The sequence below is a fragment of the Homo sapiens genome, chromosome X (assembly GCF_000001405.40).
Source record: "Homo sapiens chromosome X, GRCh38.p14 Primary Assembly".
In the NCBI taxonomy this organism is placed as follows: Eukaryota; Metazoa; Chordata; class Mammalia; order Primates; family Hominidae; genus Homo; species Homo sapiens.
Window position 1 is genome coordinate 42,295,830 of NC_000023.11, and position 24,290 is coordinate 42,320,119.

The following is a 24,290-nucleotide window of genomic DNA, read 5'->3' on the forward strand; positions in this document are numbered from 1 at the left end:
ACATAGTTTGCAAAATTATTCTTGCATTCTATTTAGTCTCTTCAATCTGTCGATAGTTTCTTTTGCTGTGCAGAAGCTGTTTAGTTTAATTAAATTCCATTTGTCAATTTTCGCATTTGTTGCAATTGCTTTTGGTGTCTTTGTCATGAAGTCTTTGCCTATTTCTATATCCAGATGGTATTGCCTAGGTTGTCTTCCAGGGTTTTTATAGGTTTGGATTTTACATTTAGGTCTTTAATCCATCTTTAGTTTATTTTCGTACATGGTATAAGGAAAAGGAACTGGTCCAGTTTCAATTTTCTGCATATGCCTAGCAAGTTATCCCAGTACCATTTATTGAATAGGGAATCCTTTCCCCATTGCTTATTTTTGTCAGGTGTGTTGAAGATCAGATGGTTGTAGGTGTGCGGCTTTATTTCTGAGCTTTGTATTCAGTTCTGTTGGTCTATGTGTCTGTTTTTGTACCAGTACCAAAGAAAAAGGGGAGTATACTTCATAACTTTTTTCTCTCTTTATTGATACATAATATTTGTACATATTTATGGAGTGCATGTGATAGTTTTTTTATATGTACAGAGTGTGTAATGATCAAGTCAGGGCATTTGGGGGTGTCCATCACCTTGAGTATTTATCATTTCTATGTGTTGGGAACATTTCAAGTCCTCTTTTCTAGCTATTTTGAAAAATATAATACATTGTTGTTAAATATAGTCACCTTAATATATATGTGTGTGTGTATATATATATATATATACATATAATTAAGGTAACATGGCATTATCTTGGAATAGGCACATAGACCAATGAAACAATATTGAGGCTGGGTGCAGTGGCTCATGCCTGTAATTCCAACACTTTGGGAGGCTGGGGTGGGGAGATGGCTTGAGCTCAGGAGTTCAAGACCAGCCTTGGAAAGATAGTAAGACCGTGTCTCTACAAAAAAAAAAAAAAAAAAAAAAGAAGCCAGGCATGGTAGTCCATGACTGTAGTCCCAGCTACTCAGGAGGCTGAGGTGAAGTATCACTTGAGCCCAGAAAGTTGAAGCTGCAATGAGCCATGATCATGCCACTCTACTCCAGCATGGGTGACAGAATGACACTCTTTTAAAAAAAAAAAAAAGAAGGGAAGAAGACAAAAAACAAAACTGAGGGTGCAGAAATAGCTCACATATATATGGTACTCAATACGTGACAGAGGTACAGATGTGTCACTATAGGTCAGTGGGAATATATTAGTTTTGCAGGAATCCCATAGAAAGTTACCACAAACTTGGTGGCCTAAAACAACAGAAATGTATCCCCTCACAATTCTGGAGACCAGAAGTCTGAACTCAAGCTGTTGGCAGTGCCATGTTTCCTGTGAGGACTCTAGAAAAGAATCCTTCCTTGCTTCTCCCAGTTTCTAGTGGCTCCCCGTGTTCCTTGACTTGTGGCAGCAGAATGATAATCTCTGCTTCCGTCTTCACATGGCCTTTCCCCCTGTGTGTCTATATCTTCTCCTCATCTTATGAAAGCACTTGTCATTGAATTTAGGGCACATCTTGTTAATTTAGGATTATCTTATCTCCAGATCTTTCACTTAGTTGCATCTGTAAAAACCTTTTTTCAGAATATGCTCACATTCATAGGTATTGGGTGTTAGAACTTGAATGTATCCTTTTCAACCCACTACAGGGGCTAAAGAAGAGAGAGTTTAATACATGTTGCTGAGGTAATTGGCTATTCATGTAGGAAAAAATTGCATTCCTAAATCACCCCATATCAAAACCAGACTTCCATGTGGATAAAAATGCAAAAAGAGAATTTTAGTGGGAAAGCAAATATGTAGAATATTATAATCTGCGTAGAATTAAAAAAAAATCCTTGTTTAAAAAGAGGCCCTGAAAACACAGGCATAATGGAAAAAAATTCATAAATTCAATTACATTGAAATTTAATACTTCTATACATCAAAACTACCATAAATAATGAAAACACAAGTTATATTAGAAGAATATATTTGCAATATGTATGTCTAATAATGAATATGTATAAATCAGTAAGAAATGGAAACAAAGCAAAGCAAAATAATAATTTTTAAAATGGGCAAATGTGTAAACAGGCAGTTCATAGAAGAGCAAATAAACCTATGAAAAGATACTTCAATTCCTTGCTAATATGGGAAATGTAATTTCAATGAGGAATGAGATTCCGTTTTGCAAACATCAAACGTGTAAAAAACTGAAAAACTTGAGATTACCAACACTTGATATAGTATACATTAGTATAACGACTTTGGAGAGCAATTTGGCTTTGTCTAGTAAAGTCGAAAGTGTATATACCTAGAACCTATAAATTCTCCTGGAGACATGTGCATTGCAGCTCTCAGTCATCAGTGAGGGAATGAATAATTTGTAATAAATTCATGGAATGTAATATTCTGTGACAGTTGAAATAAATGAACTAGCTCTATCTGTGTCAACCTGAATAAATCCTTAAAATAATGTTAAGATAAAAAGCAAATTTCAGAAGAGTAGATACAGTATGAGAGTGTTAAACACCAAACTCTGGAGAATTACTCCTTTCGTGGAGGTGGTGGAGGGAAGAAAACTTAATGGAAAGAGATAAATATAGGACTTAAAATTTATTTGCTATGTTTTCATTAGGCTGGATCATGAGTACATGAGTATTTATTATACTATTCTCTAGATTTTTGGTATTTCTTAAAACTTGGAAAATCTTTCATCATTTCAAAAGCAAAATGTAAGAGATGATTGATTGAGTTATTACAGGGAAGATATTGTTCTGATGATTTCAGTCCTCTCAAATTTAAAATAATGTGAATTGTAGCTAAAATTATAGCACAATGGAATTTAAATACAAGGAAGAATAAGTGAAGAAGGAACATGGGAAATCTGGAGGCCTGGGACTCAATTTTGGTTCTATCAGCAACTAGTTCTAGGACCATGGACAAATCCCTTAAACTGTCTGAACCTTTGTAAAGTTGGATTGAAAACAGACCCTGATCTTGATTGTAGGTAAAATGTCTATGGTTTGTAAAATTTACAAAAAACATGACCGTGTGAACTGACAGATAGGAGGGCTGCTCCAGAGGAGGTAGACAAAAGCTAGACCTTTGTTGATTGAAGTTCCAGGATGCTGTGATTCTTTGATGTTAAGGCTGTGGAGTGAGGAAGATTTGAAGTTGGATAAATTTGGGGCTATCTAGTATAATTGAAAGTGCACAACCCCACCCCAGAACCTAGTATTTCCTCTGGAGATGTGCAAAAATGTTCACGGCAGCTTCAGAAGACGATGAAGAAGAAATAGGAATGTGGCAAAGAATACTCTTTAGTGCAGACATGAGGATGATCAAAGACTCCGGTCTTCTCCCTAGATAAATTGGGAAGTATTTTGTGTGTGGTGTTTCTTATCTTGCCAATCATGTTACACATCAAATAATATTTTTACTGACACTTTGCAAACTGTATAAAACAACACAATGTTGTAGAACAAGCATTAACTGCAGATTCCTTTGAAGAGGAGGGCTGGCTGACTGGCTGACCCTAAGGATCCTCAAAGGGTGACATTCATTATGATAGACCAGAGCCTGCCTCTCAGTCAGTGGAAAATTCTTCTAATCATCAAATGTGTAAAATTGAAGCCAAGGATTCAGATCTTATCTATGTCTAATCAAAAATGGAAGTTTCCTCCTTGAAAGAGATTTTCCCTAAATCTAACAGATAATCCTAAGAAACCCACACATGGCATTATTAATAATAAGTTGTAAGTTAAAACTTTTCTAAACTATTAATAACAAAATTTTTTGAACAGCCATTTTAGGAAACGGAATTATCTTTCTATTCTCTCTGTTAAAATGATACTACAAAATCATTATCAAATGAAAAGACAAAAGTGCATGCATCAAAAAATGTGAGAAAACAGTATTATAGAGGTGGGTCAAGCTTTCAATTAGTGAAAACATTATGTTAATTTTTGTGGATTTTGTTTTACCTATGTTATTTTCCAGATATTTAAAATGTGTATTTATTGTGATTTTTCTCATTCTAAATTAATATTTACTTTTATATGTTAATTTTATTCTTATTTTCATGTATTTTTTTCTTTCCAGTTTTTATTTTAGGTTCAGGGGGTATCAGTGCAGGTTTGTTTCATGGGTAAATTGCATGTTTTGGAGGTTTGGTGTACAGATTATTTCGTCACTCAGGTAATAAGCATAGTACCTGATAGGTAGTTTTTTGACCCTCACCCTCCTCCAACCCTCCACCCTCCAGTAGGCCTTGGTGCCCATTGTTCCGTTCTTTGTGTCCATGTGTACTTAATGTTTAGTTCCCACTTATAAGTGAGAACATGCATATTCTTTTCCCAGAAAGATCTCCCTCGGACTGCATAAGCTTCAGATACCACAGAACCTGTATTTTCCCCGAGCTTAAGAGATCATGAATCCCAAATACCAATTTACCACGTACATTATGGATCCTAACGGTCAGAAATTGTGATACTTGAAATCCTTATGAACAACCTTTTCAAAGCCTGGTGTCAGACTTACTAAATTACAGTTACTAGTTGAAAATGAGCAAAAAAATGTGACAAGAATCCACATGACCTGGTTAAAAATCTATATTGATAGAGGTAAATAGAAATAGTAATTATAAAAATGGTAATAATCATAGATAACCTTTGTTGAGCACCTTCTATGTGCCAAGCTCAGTATTTTATGCCTTTTGTATCAATTCTCAGTTAATATTTGCACTAACTTTATTAAAGTAGTTTTTATGCAAATAAGGGCAAGTGCCCAGACAACACACATGTTAAGACCTGCTAGATCAGTGATCATTTGGAAAATCTCATGGAGATTTTAAGCAGTAGCAGGTGTAAAGTACCTCTCTTGCTCATTCATTCTAGGGTAGTGCATGGTGATCTAGCAGAGCCAGACATTCAATTCCAGGAGAGGCGCCCTTACTCTTGGCTCTGGGGCTTTTAGGCTACATGATTAGTGTGAGAGCTTTGTAATGTGTCAACTTGGCTAGGCTAAACTACATTTCCCAGAATCCCTTTCTTACATGTTTCTGGTTAAGAAGACCACAAAGGAGATTCTGAAGAGATTTGGAGAGCTAGGGGGAGGCAGCTGCCATTTCATAGCATACACACATTGTTGCCAATCTGCTGACTTACCTCCTTGGCATGACACATCAGCTGGGTTAGGGTTATGTGTTTAGCTCTTTGATGAAGGACCCTGCTTCCTCCAAGCTATCCTGGTGTCATTGGCAACAAGAACAGATACTGATTTCAGTCAACCCTTGTGGGTTTCCAACTTGTGATCCTGGAGTCCCAGGCTGCTTGTGTTCTTCCTTTCCTGGTTGCTTTCCCTGTGAACTTCAAGTTCTAACATCAGACATGAAGACAGTCTCACAGAGACTGCTTAACTAATTCCGGCAATTGTGTAAGCCAATTCTCTGTAATATCTATAGATATAAATGTAGATGTAAATATATAGAGATAGATATATATCTCCTACTGGTTCTGCTTCTCTGACTGAACCCGACTGATACAATTAGAGAAGCCTTGGCCCCTCCCTTGATATGATAAGGGCCCTGATGTCCATCATTTGCAGTTCCAGGTGATGACATGATGAGGTACTGCTAAGATTCATCAATTCATTATTCATGATTAGAGAAAAATTAGTTCTCTTCCTGGCATAATCAAGGAGCTAGGTGCCAGGCCTTAAAATTGAATAGGGTTGATTATTCTTATTACTAGACTATAGCTGGTTTGCATGAAGCTTTGCTGGAGGCTAATTCCTTTACTGAGAGGCCAATTTGCAGGGATTCAGTCTTGGACAAGTATGGCAGATGGTATTTTCTAAAGATAGCTATACCAATATACAGTGCATCCCACATGCTCTTCCTAACAATACAATGTTGCCACTCCTCCATTGAGAGATAGGGTCTGTATTCCATTCCTTTGAACCTTGGAAAATCTTTGTAATTGCCTTCACTACCAGAATGCAGCAGAAGTGATAGTATGTGACCTCCAAGGCTATATTATAAAAGGCTATATGGCTTTCATCTCTCTCTCTCTGTTTCTCCCTCCCTCCCTCCTCCCTCTTTCTCCTCTCCTTTCCTCCATCCATGGCACACAGTCACCATTATGGAAGATAGCCTAAACTAGCCCATGCAGGGAGACCACACAGACACACCCATGTGGAGAGGAGCAAAAGTCTCCAGTTGTTTTCCAGCCATCAACTACCAGACATGTGACCGAGTGAGGTTTTAGAAGTTTTGATCCCCTAGTTTTTTAGTCTTCCAGCAGAGGCCTCAGATACTGTGGAGCAGAGTGGAACACAGATAAGCTGTCCCCAGAAAATCCTGCCCAAATTGAAGATTCGTGAGAAGAATAAAGTTGGTTTTTTTTACCACTAAATTTTGGAGTAACTTGTTTGGTATTAGTTACTGGAAAAGACAAGTTAACTGTGTGTAATAGTGATCTACTGCTGTGTAACAAATTATTTGAAAATTTAGTGACTTAAAACTATAAACATTTATTACTTCACAGTTTCTGAGAATCAGTAATTCAGGAATTGCTTAGCTTGGTAGCTCTGGCTCAGGATTTCCCATGAGGTGGTAGATGAGATGTTGATCAGGGCTATAGTCATTTGAGGGTTTGACTGAGCAGGAGGATCACCTTCCAAGATATCTCCCTCCCATGGTTATTAAGAAGAAGTCTTAGTTCCTTGCTGGATGTTGACAATAGGCTTCAGTTGCTTGCCACATGGGCTCCTCACAGGGCTGTCTTAATGTCTTCATGATGTGGTATTTGGCTTCCCCTGGAGCAGATGAGAGAGAGAGAGAGAGAGAACAAGAAGGCAACAAAAATTCTTATCATGTCCTAGCCTTGCAAATTGCCCACCATCATTTCCATCACATGCTGTTTGTTGAAATACAGCCCACACTCAATGGGAAGGCAATTACATTCCACCTTTTGAAGTGGGGAATTTCAAAGAACTTGTTGGTATACTATAAAGCCACTACACCCTGACCTCAGTTGTAGCTTCTATGCCTCCTTCCCCCATTTTGTGACCATTCCATCCTCTTTAAACAAAAGAGGGCTGTGAGGCTAATTACTGCCATCATTCTAGGAAACACTGGAGAATAGTTCAGAATGGCTGGGTGACTATCCAGGGGTGCAGGTCATGTTTACCTGAGGCAGTTGGGGGAAGGCAATTTGTAAGAAGGATCCAGGAGGCATGCATTGTGTGGTCTGCAAAGTAATAAGGCTGACACCTACTATTGCTGTGTGGAGACTGAGGAAATGTTAAACACGATTTGCAGAATTGCTCTTGAGTTTCTTCCAATGGGAACCTGTGTCATTCGGAAGAAGAATGAGCTCTCCTGCCTTGTTGCTCAGTCCTGGATCCTAGGATCCATTGTTATATTTTTATTGATGAGGATTAATGTTTTAACTTGGTGGAATTTGCAAAAGACTGGGAGATGCCAGTAGCAAAGTGGTGATGTTAGGAGACACTGGAATGGCCTTGATTTACTTCAAAGAGTCATGAGGATGACAGTTTTCCTGGAATGCAAGGTGGGTGGTAACTACTGATCTCTACCCCCTTCCTCCTATAATTTTTTGTGATGTTTTAATACTAGTTGAGGTGCTTCTTCTTCTACTTCAGATGAAGTATTCATTTCATTTGGTTCATATCCAGGGTGATAATCTTGATGGAAACCCAGACACTCTGTTACTGCCACATTTAAATAATTTGTTATTAGTAGTTATATCTTGCTTTTTAAAAATTGAGGTAAAATTCACATAAAATAAAATTAACCACTTTAAAGTATACAATGAAGTAGCATTTGGTAAATTCAAAATGTTGTGCAACCACCTCTCTCAAGTTCCAAAACATTTTCATCACTCTAAAATAAAACTTGTATGCATTAAGCAGTCACTTTTCATTCCTCTCCTACTAGACTGTGGCAACCACTATTGTGCTTTCTGTCTCTATGAATTTACCTATTCTGAATTTTCAATGGACTATTCTTCAGCCATAAAAATTGAAGTACTGATACATGCTACAATGCTACATGTGGATGCACCTCAGAAACTTGCTAAGTGAATGAAAGTCAGACACAAAATGTCTCATTACTGTACGATTCTATTTGTTTGAGTTTCCTTGTTTCTAGTTTGTTTTTATCAAAAGAGAGTGCTGCATTTTGTCAAGTTCTTTTGTTTTGCATCAATTGACATGATTGTGTGTGTGGATTTTTTCTGTCATTCTATTAATGTGGTATATTATATTAATTGGTTTTCAATGTTGCACAATTCTTACATTCCTGGGATAAATACCACTTGCTTATGGTGTATAATTCTTTTAATATGCTGCTGGATTCAGTTTGCTCGTATTTTGTTGAGATATCGCATCTAAGTTCATAAGGGATATTGGTTTGTAGTTGTCTCATGATGACTTTGTCTGGCTTTGGTATTAGAATAATTCTGGCATCACAGATTAAAGTACAAAGTATTCCCTCCTCTTCTATTATTTTTTGGTAGGCTTTGAGAAGAGTTGTTGAAAATTCTTTTTTATATGAGTGGTAGAATTTACAGGTAAAGTCATCTGGTCTTGAGCTTTACTTTGTTGGGAGGATTTTGATTACTTATTTAATCACTGATTAATTCTCTTATAATCCTTTTTAATATTTCTATTGGTCAGTTGTAATGTCTCCATTTTTATTTCTGGTCTTAGTAATTTGAATATTCTCTTTTTTCTTAGTCAATCTAACCAAAGATTTGTAAATTTTGTTCATTGTTTTAACTGACCAACATTTGGCGTCATTGATTTTCTGTATTTAAAAAAAATTTTAGATCTCATTTAATTTCATCCTAATCTTCATTATTTCTTTCTTTCTGCTGGATTTGGGTTGGATTTTTCTCTTCTCTTTCTAGTTCCTTAAGGTGTAAAGTGAGGTTATTGATTTCTTCTTTTTAAATGTATAAGTTTTTACAGCTATAAATTCCCTTCTAAGCACTGCTTTTTCTATATCCCAAACATTTTAGAATGTTGTGCTTTCATTTTTATTTGTCTGAAAGAATGTATTTTCTAATTTCTCTTGTAATTTCTTCTTTGATCAATTGTTTTTTTTTTTTTTTAATGGAGTCTCTCTTTGTTGCTCAGGCTAGAGTGCAGTGGCACGACCTCAGCTCACTGCAACCTCTGCCTCCTTGGTTCAAGTGATTCTCCTGCCTCAGCCTCCCAAGTAGCTGGGATTACAGGAGCTTGCCATCATGCCCAACTAACTTTTCTATTTTTAGTAGAGACGGGGTTTTGCCATGTTGGCCAGGCTGGTCTCAGACTCCTGACCCCAAGTGATCTGTCCCCCTTGGCTTCCCAAAGTGCTTGGATTACAAGCATTAGCCACCATGCCTGGCCTTTGATCAACTGGGTTTTAAAGAATGTTGTTTAATTTCCAGATATTTGTGAATTTTCTAGTTTTCCTTCTGTTATTTATTTCTAGTTTCATTTCATTGTAGTAGAAGAAAATACTTTGTATGATTTCAATCTTTTAAAATTCATTGAGATTGTTTTGGCCTAATGTATGGTCTTCTGTGGAGAATGTTCCTTGTATATTTAAGAAAAATGTATATTCTGCCGTTCTTGAGTAGAGTGTTCTCCGTATGCCTCCTAGGTCGTGTTGGTTTCCAGTATTCTTTAAGTTCTCTATTTCCTTATTGATCTGCTGTTTTGTTGTTCAATCTATTATAGAAAGTAGGGTGCTAAAGTTCCCAACTACTATTGTAGAATTATTTTTGCTTCACATATTTTGGGTCTCTGTTGTTAAGCAATATACGTTTATTATTGTTTATTATTGTTGCATCTTCTTAGTGAGTTGACCCATTTGTCAGTATATAATGTCCTTGTTTGACTTTTGTAATAGTTTTCTTATTTAAAGTCTATTTTGTTTGATATTAGTATAGCTACTTCATCTCACTTCTTGTTATAATATGCATGTAATATTTTTCCTATCCTTTCACTTTTAACTTTACGTTTTTGCATCTAAAATTAGTATCTTGTAGATAACATATAGTTGAATCGTGTTTTCAATCTATTCTGCTAATCTCTGCCTTTTACTTTTAAAATTTTTATTTTGTTTTTTACTTTTGTGACTACATAGTAGGTGTTTATATTTATGAGGTACATGAGATGTTTTGATACAGGCATGCATTGTTAAAAAATCACATCATGGAGAATGGGGTCCCCATTCCCTCAAGCATTTATCCTTTGTGCTGTTAAAAGAAAAACTTTGGCCGAATTAATTTAAAGGAGTTTAGGGGTGGGGCCAAGATAGCCAACTAGAAATAGCACCATTCGGAGGATCCCATAAAACAACAACAACAACAAAAACAAAAACACAATATAATAAGCATGTGAATCCTTCACCGGCAACCAAGGTATCCAGGATCTTTCATCACAACTGACTAGGAAGCTGGCATGACCCATGGAGAGAAGGAAGAACAGTGTGGTGTGGTGGCCCACCTGAGAGCCACACAGGGCAGGAAAGCCCCCTCCCCCCAGCCAAGGGAGGCGGTGAATGAGTGTGCTACCCAGCCAGGGAAACCATGCTTTTTTCACAGCACTGTGCAACCCACAAGGATTGGAAGATCCCACTCATGAACCCATGCCACTAGGGCCTAGCGTCCCAACCCTGGAACACGCAGACGTGCAAACTCTTAACAGCTTCTCAGCTGAAATCTGCTTAAGCCTACTGAACTTCCTGGTGGAGAAGCAACCAGCACCATGGCTGTGGCTGCCTGCTGTCTAAGCCCTTTGAGCTCCTTGGAGGAGGGGCAGCAGCCAGCACTGGGACTCTAAACTGCCTAACACACTAAGCTCCCAAGGCGGGGCAAGGGCAGCACCCATCTCCATAGCCCCAGAGTGTGCTTTTCCCCTGCTGGAGTCAGGGAGGCTGGATGGCTTGGTCCCAAGATTTGGCCCCTATAGCCCAACACACTGGCTGTGGCAGTCAGCTTCCAGAGTGCCTCTTCAGGCTTGACTCTGACCCATCCTTTCTCAGTGGGCGGGGCTTCCCTGCAGGAAGTCCAGTAACTCTAGCCAGAGGCTCAAGGACAGAACCCAGGTCCCCCTGGGCCTGAGCCCCTAGGGAGAGGGGTGGCCACAGTCTCTGTGGACAAGCAGACTTAGCCTTTCCTCCTAGTAGTTCTGAGGAATCTGGGCAGCCCAGATGAGTGGGTTTCCCCCAAGCGAGGCACATCCCTCCAACAAGGGGCAAAGTGCCTGGTTAAATGGGTCCTGTTCCCCATGCCACCCAACTGGGTGAGACCCTCCAACAGGGGTTGTCAGACACCCTGTACAGGAGTGATCCTACTGGCATCAAGTTGGTGCCTTTCAAGGTCAGAGGTCCCAGAAGAAGGAGCAGGCACCCATTTTTGCTGTTGTCCAGCCTCCTTGAGTGACATCTCCAGGCGTGGGAGCGAATGAAATGAATAAGGCCTGAAGTTAACTCCCAGCAAACTGCAGCAGCCCTACAGAAGAGAGACCTGACCATTGAAAAACAAACAAACAAACAAGCTGGAAGCAACATCATCATCATCAACAGCAACAACAAAGCCCCACAAAAACCCCATCCAAGGGTCAGTAGCCTCAAAGACTGAAACTAGACAAACTCTCGAAGATGAGAAAGAATTAACAAAAAAATGCTGTAAACCCAAAAGGCCAGAGTGCCTCTTGCCCTCTAACTGATCACAACATCTCTCCATCAAGGGCACAGAAGTGGACGGAGGATCAGATGGACAAATTTACAGAAGTAGGCTTCAGAAGATGGGTAATAAAAAACTATGCTGAGCTAAAGGAGCATGTTCTAACCCAATGCAAAGAAGCAAAGAACCTTGATAAAAGGTTAGAGGAATTGCTAACTAGAATAAACAGTTTAGAGAGGAACATAAATGACCTTTATCGATATTCAACATTTTTAAAGAAAAAAATTTTCAACCCAGAATTTCATATACAGCCAAACTAAGCTTCATAAGTAAAGAAGAAATGAAATTCTTTCCAGACAAGCAAATGCTAAGGTATTTTGTTACAACCAGGCCTGGCCTGCAAGAGTTCCTGGAAAAAGCACTAAATATGGAAAGGAAAAGCCGGTACCAGCCACTGCAAAAACACACCAAGATATAAAGACCAATGACACTATGAAGAAACTTCATCAACTGGTATGCAAAATAACCAAATAGCAGCATAATGACAGGATCAATACGTATAACAATACAATTCAAACATAACAGTACTAACCTTAAATGTAAATGGACTAAATGCCCCAATTAAAAGACACAGGCTGGCAAATTGGATAAAGAGTCAAGACCCATCAGTATGCTGTATTCAGGAGACCCATCTCACGTGCAAAGACACACATAGGCTCAAAAATAAAGGAATGCAGGAATATTTACCAAGCAAATGAAAAGCAAAAAAAAAAAAAAAAAAAAAAAAGCAGGGGTTGCAGTCCTAGTCTCTGACAAAACAGACTTTAAACCAACAAAGATGAAAAAAAAAATACAAAGAAAGACATTACATAATAGCAAAGGGAACGATTCAACAGGAAGTGCTAACTATTCTAAATATATATGCACCCAATACAGGAGCACCCGGATTCATAAAACAAGTTCTTAGAGACCTACAAAGAGACTTAGACGCCCAAACAATAATAGTGGAAGACTTTAACAACACACTGTCAGTATTAGATCAATGAGACAGAAAATTAACAAGGATATTCAGGACTTGAACTCAGCTCTGGATCAAGTGGACCTAGTAGACATCTACAGAACTCTTTACCCCAAATCAACAGAATATACATTCTTCTGTATATGAATAAGTGCCACATGACACTTATTTTAAAATCGACCACATAATTAAAAGTAAAACACTCCTCAACAAGTGCAAAATAAGTGAAATCATAGAAAACAATCTCTCAGGCAACAATGCAATCAAATTAGAACTCAGGATTAAAACACTCACTCAAAACCACACAATTACATGGAAACTGAACAATCTGTTCCTGAATGACTCCTGGGTAAATAATTTAATTAAGGCAGATATGAAGAAGTTCTTTGAAACCAATGAGAACAAAGAGACAACGTACCAGAATCTCTGGGACACAGCTAAAGCACTGTTAAGAGGGAAATTTATAGCACTGAATGCCCATATCAGAAAACTTGAAAGATTTCAAATTGACACCCTAACATCACAATTAAAAAGGATAGAGAGCCAAGAATAAACTAATCCAGAATCTAGCAGAAGACAAGAAATAATTAAGATCAGAGCAGAATTGAAGGAGATAGAGACACAAAAAAACCCTCCAAAAAATCAACTAACACAGGAGCTGTTTTATTTTGAAAAAAATTAACAAAATAGACTGCTAGCTAGACTAACAAAGAAGAAAAGAGAGAAGAATAAAGTAGACACAATAAAAAATGACAAAGGAGATATCACCGTTGACCCCACAGAAATACAAACTACCACCAGAGAATGCTATAGACACCTCTATGCAAATAAACTAGGAAATCTAGAAGAAATGGATAAATTCCTGGACATGTACACCCTCCCAAGACTAAACAAGGAAGACACAGAATTCCTGAATAGACCAATAACAAGCTCTGAAATTGAGGCAGTAATTAATAGCCCAGCAACCAAAAAAAAGCCCAGCACCAGATGGGCTCACAGCTGAATTCTACCAGAAATACAAAGAGGAGCTAGTACCATTCCTTCTGAAACTATTTCAAACAATTGAAAAGGAGAGACTCCTCCCTAACTCATTTTACGAAGCCAGCATGATCCTGATACCAAAACCTGGCAGAGACACAACAAAAAAAGAAAATTTCAGGCCAATATCCCTGATGAATATTGATGCAAAAATCGTCAATGAAATACTGGCAAACTGAATCCAGCAGCACATCAAAAAACTTATTTACCACGATCAAGTTGGCTTCATCCCTGGGATGCAAGGCTGGTTCAACATATGCAAATAAATAAACGTAACCTATCACATAAACAGAACCAATGAAAAAACCACATGATTATCACAATAGATGCAGAGGAGGCCTTTGATAAAATTCAACATCCCCTCATGTTAAAAACTCTCAATAAACTAGGTATTTATGGAACATATCTCAAAATAATAAGAGCTATTTATGACAAACCCACAGCCAATGTCATATTGAATGGGCAAAAGCTGGAAGTATTCCCTTTGAAAACCGGTACAAGACAAGGATGCCCTCTTTCACCACTACTATTCAACATAGTACTGGAAGTTCTGGCCGGGGCAATCAGGCAAGAGAAAGAAATAAAGGATATTCAAATAGGAAGAGAGGAAGTCAAATTGTCTCTGTTTGCAGATGACATAATTTTATATTTAGAAAACCCCGTCATCTCAGCCCGAAAACTCCTTAAACTGATAAGTAAGTTCAGCAAATTCTCAGGATACAAAATCAATGTGCAAAAATCACAAGCATTCCTTTATACAAACAACAGAGAAGCAGACAGCCAAATCATGAATGAACTCCCATTCACAATTGCTACAAAGAGAATAAAATACCTAGGAATATAGCCAACTAGGGATATGAAGGACCTCTTCAAGGAGAACTACAAACCACTGCTCAAGGAAATAAGAGAGGAGACAAACAAATGGAAAAACATTCCATGCTCATGGTAAGAAGAATCAATATCGTGAAAATGGCCATACTGCCCAAAGTAGTTTATAGATTCAATGCTATTTCCATTAAACTATCATTGAAATTCTTCACAGAAGTAGGAAAAGGTATTTTAAATTTCATATGGAATCAATGAAGACCCTGTATAGTGATGACAATCCTAAGCAAAAAGAACAAAGCTGGAGGCATCACTCTACCAGACTTCAAACTATACTACAAGGCTACAGTAACCAAAACAGCATGGTACTGGTACCAAAACAGACATATAGACCAATGGAGCAGAACAGAGACCTCAGAAATAACACCACACATCTACAACCATCTGATCTTCAACAAATTTGATAAAAACAAGCAATTGGGAAAGGATCTCCCATTCAGTAAATGTTGCTGAGAAAACTGGCTAGCCATAGGCAGAAAACTGAAAGTGGACTCCTTCCTTACACCTTATGCAAAAATTAACTCAAGATGGATTAAAGACTTAAATGTAAAACCCAAAACCATAAAAACCCTAGAAGAAAACCTAGGCAATACCATTTAGGATATAGGCATTGGCAAAGACTTCATGACAAAAACGCCAAAAGCAATTGCAACAAAAGCCAGAATTGACAAATGGGATCTAATTAAACTAATGAGCTTCTGTACAACAAAAGAAACTATCATCAGAGTGAACAGGCAACCTACAGAATGGGAGAAAATTTTTGCAGTCTACCCATCTGACAAAGGTCTAATATCCTGAATTTATAAGGAACTTAAACAAATTTACAAGATAAAAACCACCCCATCAAAAAGTGGGCAAAGAATATGAACAGACACTTCTCAAAAGAAGACACTTATGTGGACCGGGAGTGGTGGCACATGCCTGCAATCCCAGCACTTTGGGAGGCCAAGGCAGGTGGATCACAAGGTTAGGAGTTCGAGACCAGCCTGGACAATATGATAAAACCCCATCTCTACTAAAAATACAAAAATTAGTCAGGCATGGTGGCATGCGCCTGTAGTCCCAGCTACTCGGGAGGCTGAGGCAGAAGAATCGCTTGAACCCACGAGGTGGAGGTTGCAGTGAGCCAAGATCGCGCCACTACACTCCAGCCTGGGTGACAGAGTAAGACTGCATCTAAAAAAAAAAAAAAAAAAAAAAAAAAGACATTCATGTGGCCAATAAACGTATGAAAAAAAGCTCAACATCACATCAGAGAAATGCAAATCAAAACCACAATGAAATACCATCTTAAGCCAGTCAGTATGGCGATTATTAAAAAGTCAGGAAACAATAGATGCTGTGGAGGCTGTGGACAAATAGGAACACTTTTACACTGTTGGTGAGAATGTAAATTAGTTCAACCATTGTGGAAGACAGTGTGGTGATTCCTCAAGAATCTAGAACCAGAAATACCATTTGACCCAGCAATCCCATTACTGAGTATGTACCCAAAGGAATATAAATCATTCTACTATAAAGACACATGCACACATAGGTTTATTGCAGCACTATTTACAATAGCAAAGACATGGAACCAACCCAAATGCCAATCAATGATAGACTGGATAAAGAAAATGTGGTACATATACCTCATGGAATACTATGCAGCCATAAAAACGAATTAGATCATGTCCTTTGCAGTTGCAAGCCATCATCCTCAGCAAACTAACACAGGAACAGAAAACCAAATACTGCATGTTCTCACTTATAAGTGGGAGTTGAACAATTAGAACACGTGGACACAGAGAGGGAAACAACACACACCAGGGCCTGTTGTGGGGTAGGGGGGTGAGGGGAGGGAACTTAGGGGACGTGTCAATAGGTGCAGCTAACCACCATGGCACATGCATGCCTATGTAACAAACCTGCACGTTCTGGGCATGTATTCCATTTTTTTCAGAGAAAATTAATAAATAAATGTTCTCATCACACACACAGACACAGACACACACACACACACACACACACACACAATAAATTTAAAGGAGTTTAATTGAGCAATGAACAATTTGGGAATCAGCCAGCCCCTAGAATCACAGAAGATTCAGACAGACTCCAGGGGTGACTTGTGGTCGTAACAAATTTATAGACAACAAAGGTAAAGTGTTGTACAGAAATGGAAGTGAGGTACAGAAACAGCTGGATTGGTTACAGGTTGGTGTTTGCCTTATTTGAACACAGTTTGAACACTCACCAGTGTATGAGTGGTTGAAGTATGGCTGCTGGGATTGGCCAAGACTCAGCTATTGTTATAGGTGCATACTCCCAAATTAGGTTTTCAATCTTGTCTACCTATTAAGTTATGTTGCAGTTCATCCACAAAGACTCAAATATAGAAGTACAGAGTCCTTCTCAGGCCATATTTAGTTCTCTTTAATGGTGTTACAAACAATCCAATTATACTCTTTTAGTTATTTTAAAATATACAATTAAGTTGTTATTGACTGTAATCACCCTGCTGTGCTATCAAATAATAGGTCTTATTCATTCTTTCGAACTATTTTTTGTACCCATTAACCATCACCATGTTCCCTTCCAGCCCCCCATTAGCCTTCCTAGCCTAGGGTAACCATCCTTCTACTCTCTGTGTCCATGAGTTCAATTGTTTTGATTTTTAGATCCCACAAGTAAGTGAGAACTTGTAATGTTTGTCTTTCTGTGCTTGGCTTATTTCACTTAACATAATGATCTCCAGTTCTATCCATGTTGTTGCAAATGACAGGATGTCATTCTTTTTATGGCTGAATAGTACTCCATTGTGTATATGTACCACATTCCTTTATCCCATTCATCTGTCAATGGACATTTAGGTTGCTTCCAAATCTTGGCTATTATGAATAGTGCCGCAACAAACATGGGAGTACAGATACATCTTTGATATACTGATTTCCTTTCTTTTGGCTATGTACCCAGCAATGGGATTGCTACATCATATGGTAGCTCTGTTTTTAGTTTTTTGAGAAACCTCCAAACTGTTCTCCATAGTAGTTGTACTATTTATATTCCCATCAACAGTGTATGAGGGTTCCCCTTTCTCCACGTCCTCGATAGCACTTGTTATTGCCTGCCTTTTAATTAGAGAGTTTAATTCATTTTTATTTAAAGTAATTACTGATAAGAAATGACTTACTGCTAATGTCTTGATATTTGTTTTCTATTTGACTGGTATATTTTGTGTTACTAATTTCCTCTATTATTACCTTGTTTTGTGTTCAATTGACTTTTTGCAGTGTGCCATTTGATTACTTTTTCTTTCTCTTTCTTTCTTTTCTTTCTTTCTTCTTTTTCAGAAGCTTTTGTTGTTTTCTTGAGGATTACCATTAACCTCTTACATGTGTGACAACCCATTTTGAATTAATATCATCTTAGTACCCTCTTAAGGTTTCATATAGGGAACATCTGCTAAGGGTGAACATTCTCAGCTTTTGTTTATCTGTGAATGATTTACTTTGTGTTTCATTTTAAAAGGAGTGTTTTGTTGGATATAGAGTTCTTGGTTGACAGTTTTTTTTTCACTTTAAATATGTCATACCACTGCATTCTGGCCTTCTTGGATTCTGCTGAGAATGTAGCTGTTAATTTTATTGATGATCCTTTGTACATGATGAGTTGCTTCTCTGTTGCTACTTTTAAGATTATTTCTGTCTTTTGAAAGTTCAATTAGAGTATGTCTTGATGTGATTCTCTTTTTGTTTATTCTATGTGTCAAGCTTCTTGGAAGTGTAGATTAATGTGTTATTTTTTAAAATGGGAAGTTTTTCACCATTATTTCTTCAAACATTCTTTTTGTACATTTCTCACTTTTTATTCTGGAAATCTCATTATGTATATGTTGGTAGGTTTGATGGTGTCCCATAAGCCTCTTAAGCTCAGTTAATTTTTCTTAATTATCTTTTCTTTCTGATCCTCAGATTGGATAATTCAATTGACCTATCTTCAAGTTTACTGATTATTTCTTCTCCCTGCTCAAATCTGTAGTTGAGATCCTCCAGTGAATTTTTAATTTTACAAATTATGTTTTTCAGCTTCAGAATTTCTGTTTGTTACTTTTTATAATTTTTAATCTCTTTAGTAATATTCTCTATTTGTTCTGTACATCATTTTCTTGATATTTTTTAGTTCTTTGAGCATGTTTAAGTCAGTTGGTTTAAAGTATTTGTCTAGCAATTCCAATGTATTTGCTTCCTTTGGTACAGTTTTGGTTAATTTATTCAGTGAATGGGCTATACTTTCTTGTTTCTTTGCATTTTTTCATAATTTTTGGTTAAAAATTGGACATTTTCAGTAGTATAATGTGGTAACTATGGAAATCAGATTCTTCTCCCTCCTTAAGGGTTGTTTTGTTGTTTGCTGTGGGTTGTAAGTTCTTTTTTGTTTAGTGGCTTTCTAAACTATCTGTAAAGACTATATTTTTTTCTTGTGTAGTCTCTGATGTCTCTTTGCCTTTAGCTTATGTTATGATAGAGATTTTCTTGAATGGCTGGAGTCAATAAAGGAAGAAGAATGGAAAAAATATTTTAGTCTTTTAAAATTGGCTCTATTGGGGACTGTATTAGTCCATTCTCACATTGCTATAAAGAACTACCTGAGACTGGTAATTTATGAAGAAAATAGATTTAATTGACTTACAGTTCTGCAGACTGTACAAGAAGCATGGCTGGAAGGCCTCAGGAAACTTATAATCATGGTGAAAGGTGTAGAGGAAGCAAGCATGTTTTACCATGGCAGAGCAGGAGAGAGAGAGGGCTAAGGGGGAAGTGCCACATACTTTTAAACCAACAGATCTCATGAGAACTCCCTATCACAAGAACAGAAAGGGGGAAATCTGCCCCTATGATCCAGTCACCTCCCACCAGGCCCCCTCTCTCTACATTGAGAATTACAATTCAACATGAGATTTGGGTGGGGATACAGAGCCAAACCAGATCAGGGACATTCCTTCAATGCTTAGCCAGTTTCTTTATAACTCTGCCTTAGTCTTCACTCTATATTTGTGCTGAGCCTAATGATAAGCCTCAGGTGAATACTTAGGGTCTTCTCAGGTCTTTTCTGAGTGGGAGCCCTCCCCTGGGGATGCATGAATTTCTAAATTCCCCAGCTGGTACATTAAATTAAAGCATTTTCAATGCTTTAATTCTTCAAGGAATATTTCTTTCCAGTTTTTTTTTTTCTCCCAGGCTTTTAGTGCACCCATTCTTTACCTTGACTGCAGTCTTTTGCCCTAGGCAACAGTGTTTTGTTAATTTGCCTTTTAATATTTTTCAAGAATATCCTCTGTATACTCTCTTTTCTTCCCTGAGAGAGTTCTGACTTAGATGAAGCAAAGGCAAGTACCTTGTGTGAGTTCTTTAGGCAGTTGCCCTATAGATCAAAACAAAAAAAAAAAACCCCACAATTATTTGAGAACATAACCTACTGTCTCTCTCTGGAATAAGGTACTAAGGTCCTACACTGGGACCAGAGGAACTGTCTTCAAGACTGTTGTCAAGTCAGAGATGGGACAGTGCAAGGGCAAGTAAAAACACTGAAAAGTTCTTCTACCATTTTAAAATTGCCTTTTTCTTGACTCAGCATTTACTTGGTTTCTACAAAACTCTGACTATTTTCCAGAATTCCTACAAAGGTGATTCTGAGCATGTTTGCTCATTTCTTGGTATTTCTGTGGAGGAACAGGCCTTTGGAGCTAACTGCTTTGCCATTTTTGCTGACATCACCTTTCCACAATTTGTTTTGGATTCCTCTAGTATTTATTAAGGACTTGCTATACGTCAGGCACCATGTTAAATGTTTTATGTTTATTTAACCCTCATACTAATTATATGAGGGCAATATTATTATCCGCATCTTTTTCACAAAAGAAGAAAAACAGGGAAGAATTGTCCAAGGAAATACTACAGATAGGAAGAGATACACATGAGCTTGAACTCAGATCTGTATGATTTCTAGCCCCAGGCTCTTAATCGCTAGGATAAACCAATATATTAAGAAAGGCAGGCATAATAAAAAGTGTTAGGTGACCTAATTCTAGACACAATTTTATGCTAAGGGATTAACTGTAATTTGTTTATATAAAAGACAGTTTTTATTTTCTATCTCTCATTCATGCTTTGCATCTGAATGGTGTAAGTGAGTGTGAAGGGTCTCAATAGAAGTAAGAGAAAGAACTATATCCAAGATAATCCATCAATATACAGGATGAATAAACAAATGTTGATTACTGTTCATGCTAGCGTGTAATGTTTTTATTAAAAGATTTAAGCTAGGAGGATGGCCAAAGTAAATAGAAAAGGAGTGAAGGGAGGATGTGTGGATACTTGATACATGATTATCCTATTCTTGTGTGTTGCAGTTGTTCCTGATTATTTTGATGGAAGACTATTAGGGAACTGTAAGAGTTGCGGATTTAGACTCCCTGAGTTCAAATTCTGACTCTACTTTTTGCCATCTCTATGGCCTTGGGCAAATTCACTAATCTGTCTATGCTTCAGTTTCCTCACTATGAGATATGGGGATAATAATGGTACCCACTTAATCGTATGCTTCAGAATCAGATAAGCTAGTAAAGTGAACAGCATTAAGAACTGTGTCTGGCACAGAGTAACCATTTTAAAACATTGGCTATTAGTATTATGATAAAACTAAATAGAAAAAAAACACATTTTTTTCTCAATAAGATTTTAATGGTCACACTTCATTATCACCTCCCTTTGTTCACTTACTTATCCTTGTGGACCCTTATGGGGCACATGGCACTTTAGAAGCATCTCTTGTTTTGCATTTGACCTTGTTAGGGTAACTGTAACTCAAAAAAGACAAAAGAAAATTGAATGGCTTTCCTATCATGCTTCTTCCTGACAACTTCTTCAATTCTCCTTCATTTCAAAGAGGATGAAAATGTACAGACAGGCATTTTTTTAATAACTGAAATTGTACAAACATCCCTCATACTTGTACTGAAAGTTCCATTTTCATTTAGCATTTTATTTCCTTCTGTGTAATTTTAAGTTTACAAAATCTCAGATAACATTAATCTCAACAAAATTTTGTTAATGGTGTTACTTCTGGTACTCCAATATGATGAAGCTAAAATATGAATAGATGGAAGTCTTTTTATGAATTTTTATTTGAAAGTGTCTTGGGGAGCCTATGGACATGAGGATTTATATTGTTTTTCCACTGTGATACATATGAAGGATGATGTTGATGAGATTAAAACAGCCCTGTGGACTCATCTAAAAATTCCTTGTGTGTACTAACAGATGGTAATCTTCATATTTCCTCAAGAAGTCATTTAGGAATGCCAGCAAATAAGTGTGACATTATTATTTTTAAACAGATTTTATATTTTAGAGCAGTTTTAGGTTCACAGCAAAGTTGAGCAGAAAGTCCAGATATTTACCATATATTTACACATAATATCTTTCCCCATTATCAATATCCCCCACCAAGGTGGCACATTTATTGCAATTGATGAACCTAGGTTGATATATCATTATCACTCTAAGTTCATGGTTTACATTAGGGTTCCCTCTCAGTGTTGTACATTCTATGGGTCTGAAAAATGAATAATGACATATGTCCATCATTATAGTATTATACATGGTAGTTTTATTGCCCTAAAAGTCCTCTGTGCTCTGCCAAAGTGGCATTATTTTAACAAATAAATTTGACCTTTTTCCTAGTCTCACTATAAAAAGCAAATCCTTCAAACATGCTGAAACTTTATAATTAGTGATGATACTGATAAGAAACCTAAGAAGTGACTCTGCATCATAATGGGCCCCAAGATCAAGAACCAGCTAACTTGCCAAAGTGCTTCACTTTACAAAAGAAGAGAGTGGTGATCAGTTGCCCAAAGTCACACAGTGGTGAGCAACTCCAGGGACACTTGACTCTGGGCTTAGTTATTCAGTCCACAGACACTTATTGAGCTTCTTCTGTGTTTAAGGCCTCTTGCCCAACAAAATGGTGAACAAGACTCCACCTACTTCAAGGATTGGGAGAATAGAGAGTGGAATGGGAACAACTGGTGAGTAAAGCATCAATTATGTAACAGTATTAAGGTGAAATACAGAAGTTGGTAGAAGCACAGATCAGGGCAATCAAACTGGAATTTGTAGTAGGTTTGAGGAAGGCTGCCCAGAAGAGGGGATATCTAAGGTAGACTTGAAGAATGAATGGGAGTCAAGTCATATTTGGCCAATTGATAATTGACATTAAGGTAAGACTATGTCCAAAATTGGCATCATAGAAGAAAAAATAGCCCTTTAACAATCCTCCTCTTGTAACCTTAGCCAGAGTTAGAACCTTTACTGGGTAATGATAAATAATAATACTCATTGGTTTATTGTTGTTAATTTGTAAGCATATCTGTATTAGAACGTCATGTGATTCTTTCAGTGATTCCATGAGTAAGGAAGAGCAGGTATAATCAATATCTCAAAGAATGACCTAAAATAAATTTGGAAGTAAATAAAGTGAAATTACAGTGGATGTGACCCTTTTGATTTTTTCTTTGAGATATGAAATAGCCTTTGTTTGCTCAAACACATACTGACCATCTTGTGGAGTAAAGTTTGGTTCATTAGAGAAGTGAAAAATGCCATATCAGTCATGTTAGTTGATGTTCTTCCCATGACCAGTTTGTATTCTGATTGAACTACCTCACCCACAGCCTGTGACCCTACATCCACAGGATGAGCCTATCTTTCCTTTGGTTGAAACTAATTGACTAGGATTGGATACTTTGATCGTGATTCTATAAAGCAGGGCTATACAGATAAGATTTAATTATTGGCCCCAACTTTTTACCCTTCTGTTTGTTAGTCTGTTTGTGTTGCTATAAAGGAATACGTGAGGCTAGATCATTTATAAAGAAAGGATGTTTATTTGGCTTATGGTTCTGCAGACTGTACAGGAAGTGTGGCACCAGTATCTGCTTCTGACGGGGACTTCAGGAAGCTTCCAGTCATGGGAGCATCTGCTTCTGGTGAGGGCTTCATGAAGCTTCAGGGTAGGGGAATAGCTATCACATGGTGAGAGTGGAGAAAAAAGAAAGAGAAAGGAGATGCCTGGCTCTTTTTAATAATCAGATCTCTTGGAAACTAATGGAGTGAGAACTCACTCATTACTGTGAGAACAAGACCAAGCCATTTATGATGGATCCACCCCTGACCAAAATACCTCCCACCAGACTCCACCTCCAACATTGGAGATCAAGTTTCAACAGAGATTTGGAGGGAACAAATATCCAAATTATATCACCTTCCCTTGCACCCATATTCTTATGGTCTCATTATGGGCAGAAAGTACTTTCTCACTCAGGACTTTGGACTTGCTGCATGACTTGTGCTGGCTAATGGCACGCAGGTGGAAGTGCCAGCCATTCTGAGCCTATGCTTTAAGAGGCTTTCTGTGTTCCTTCTCATCCACTTGTGCCTCTGTCATCTCACGATAAAAACTTCTCTTGAATAGCTTCTGCCCCTGTAGCCTGAGTCTTAGAATAAACTCATGTGGAGCAGAGCTGCCAAGCTAAGTCAATTAAGTTTAGCTGACACCAGCTGACTCACAGATCCATCAGAATCAATGGTTCATAT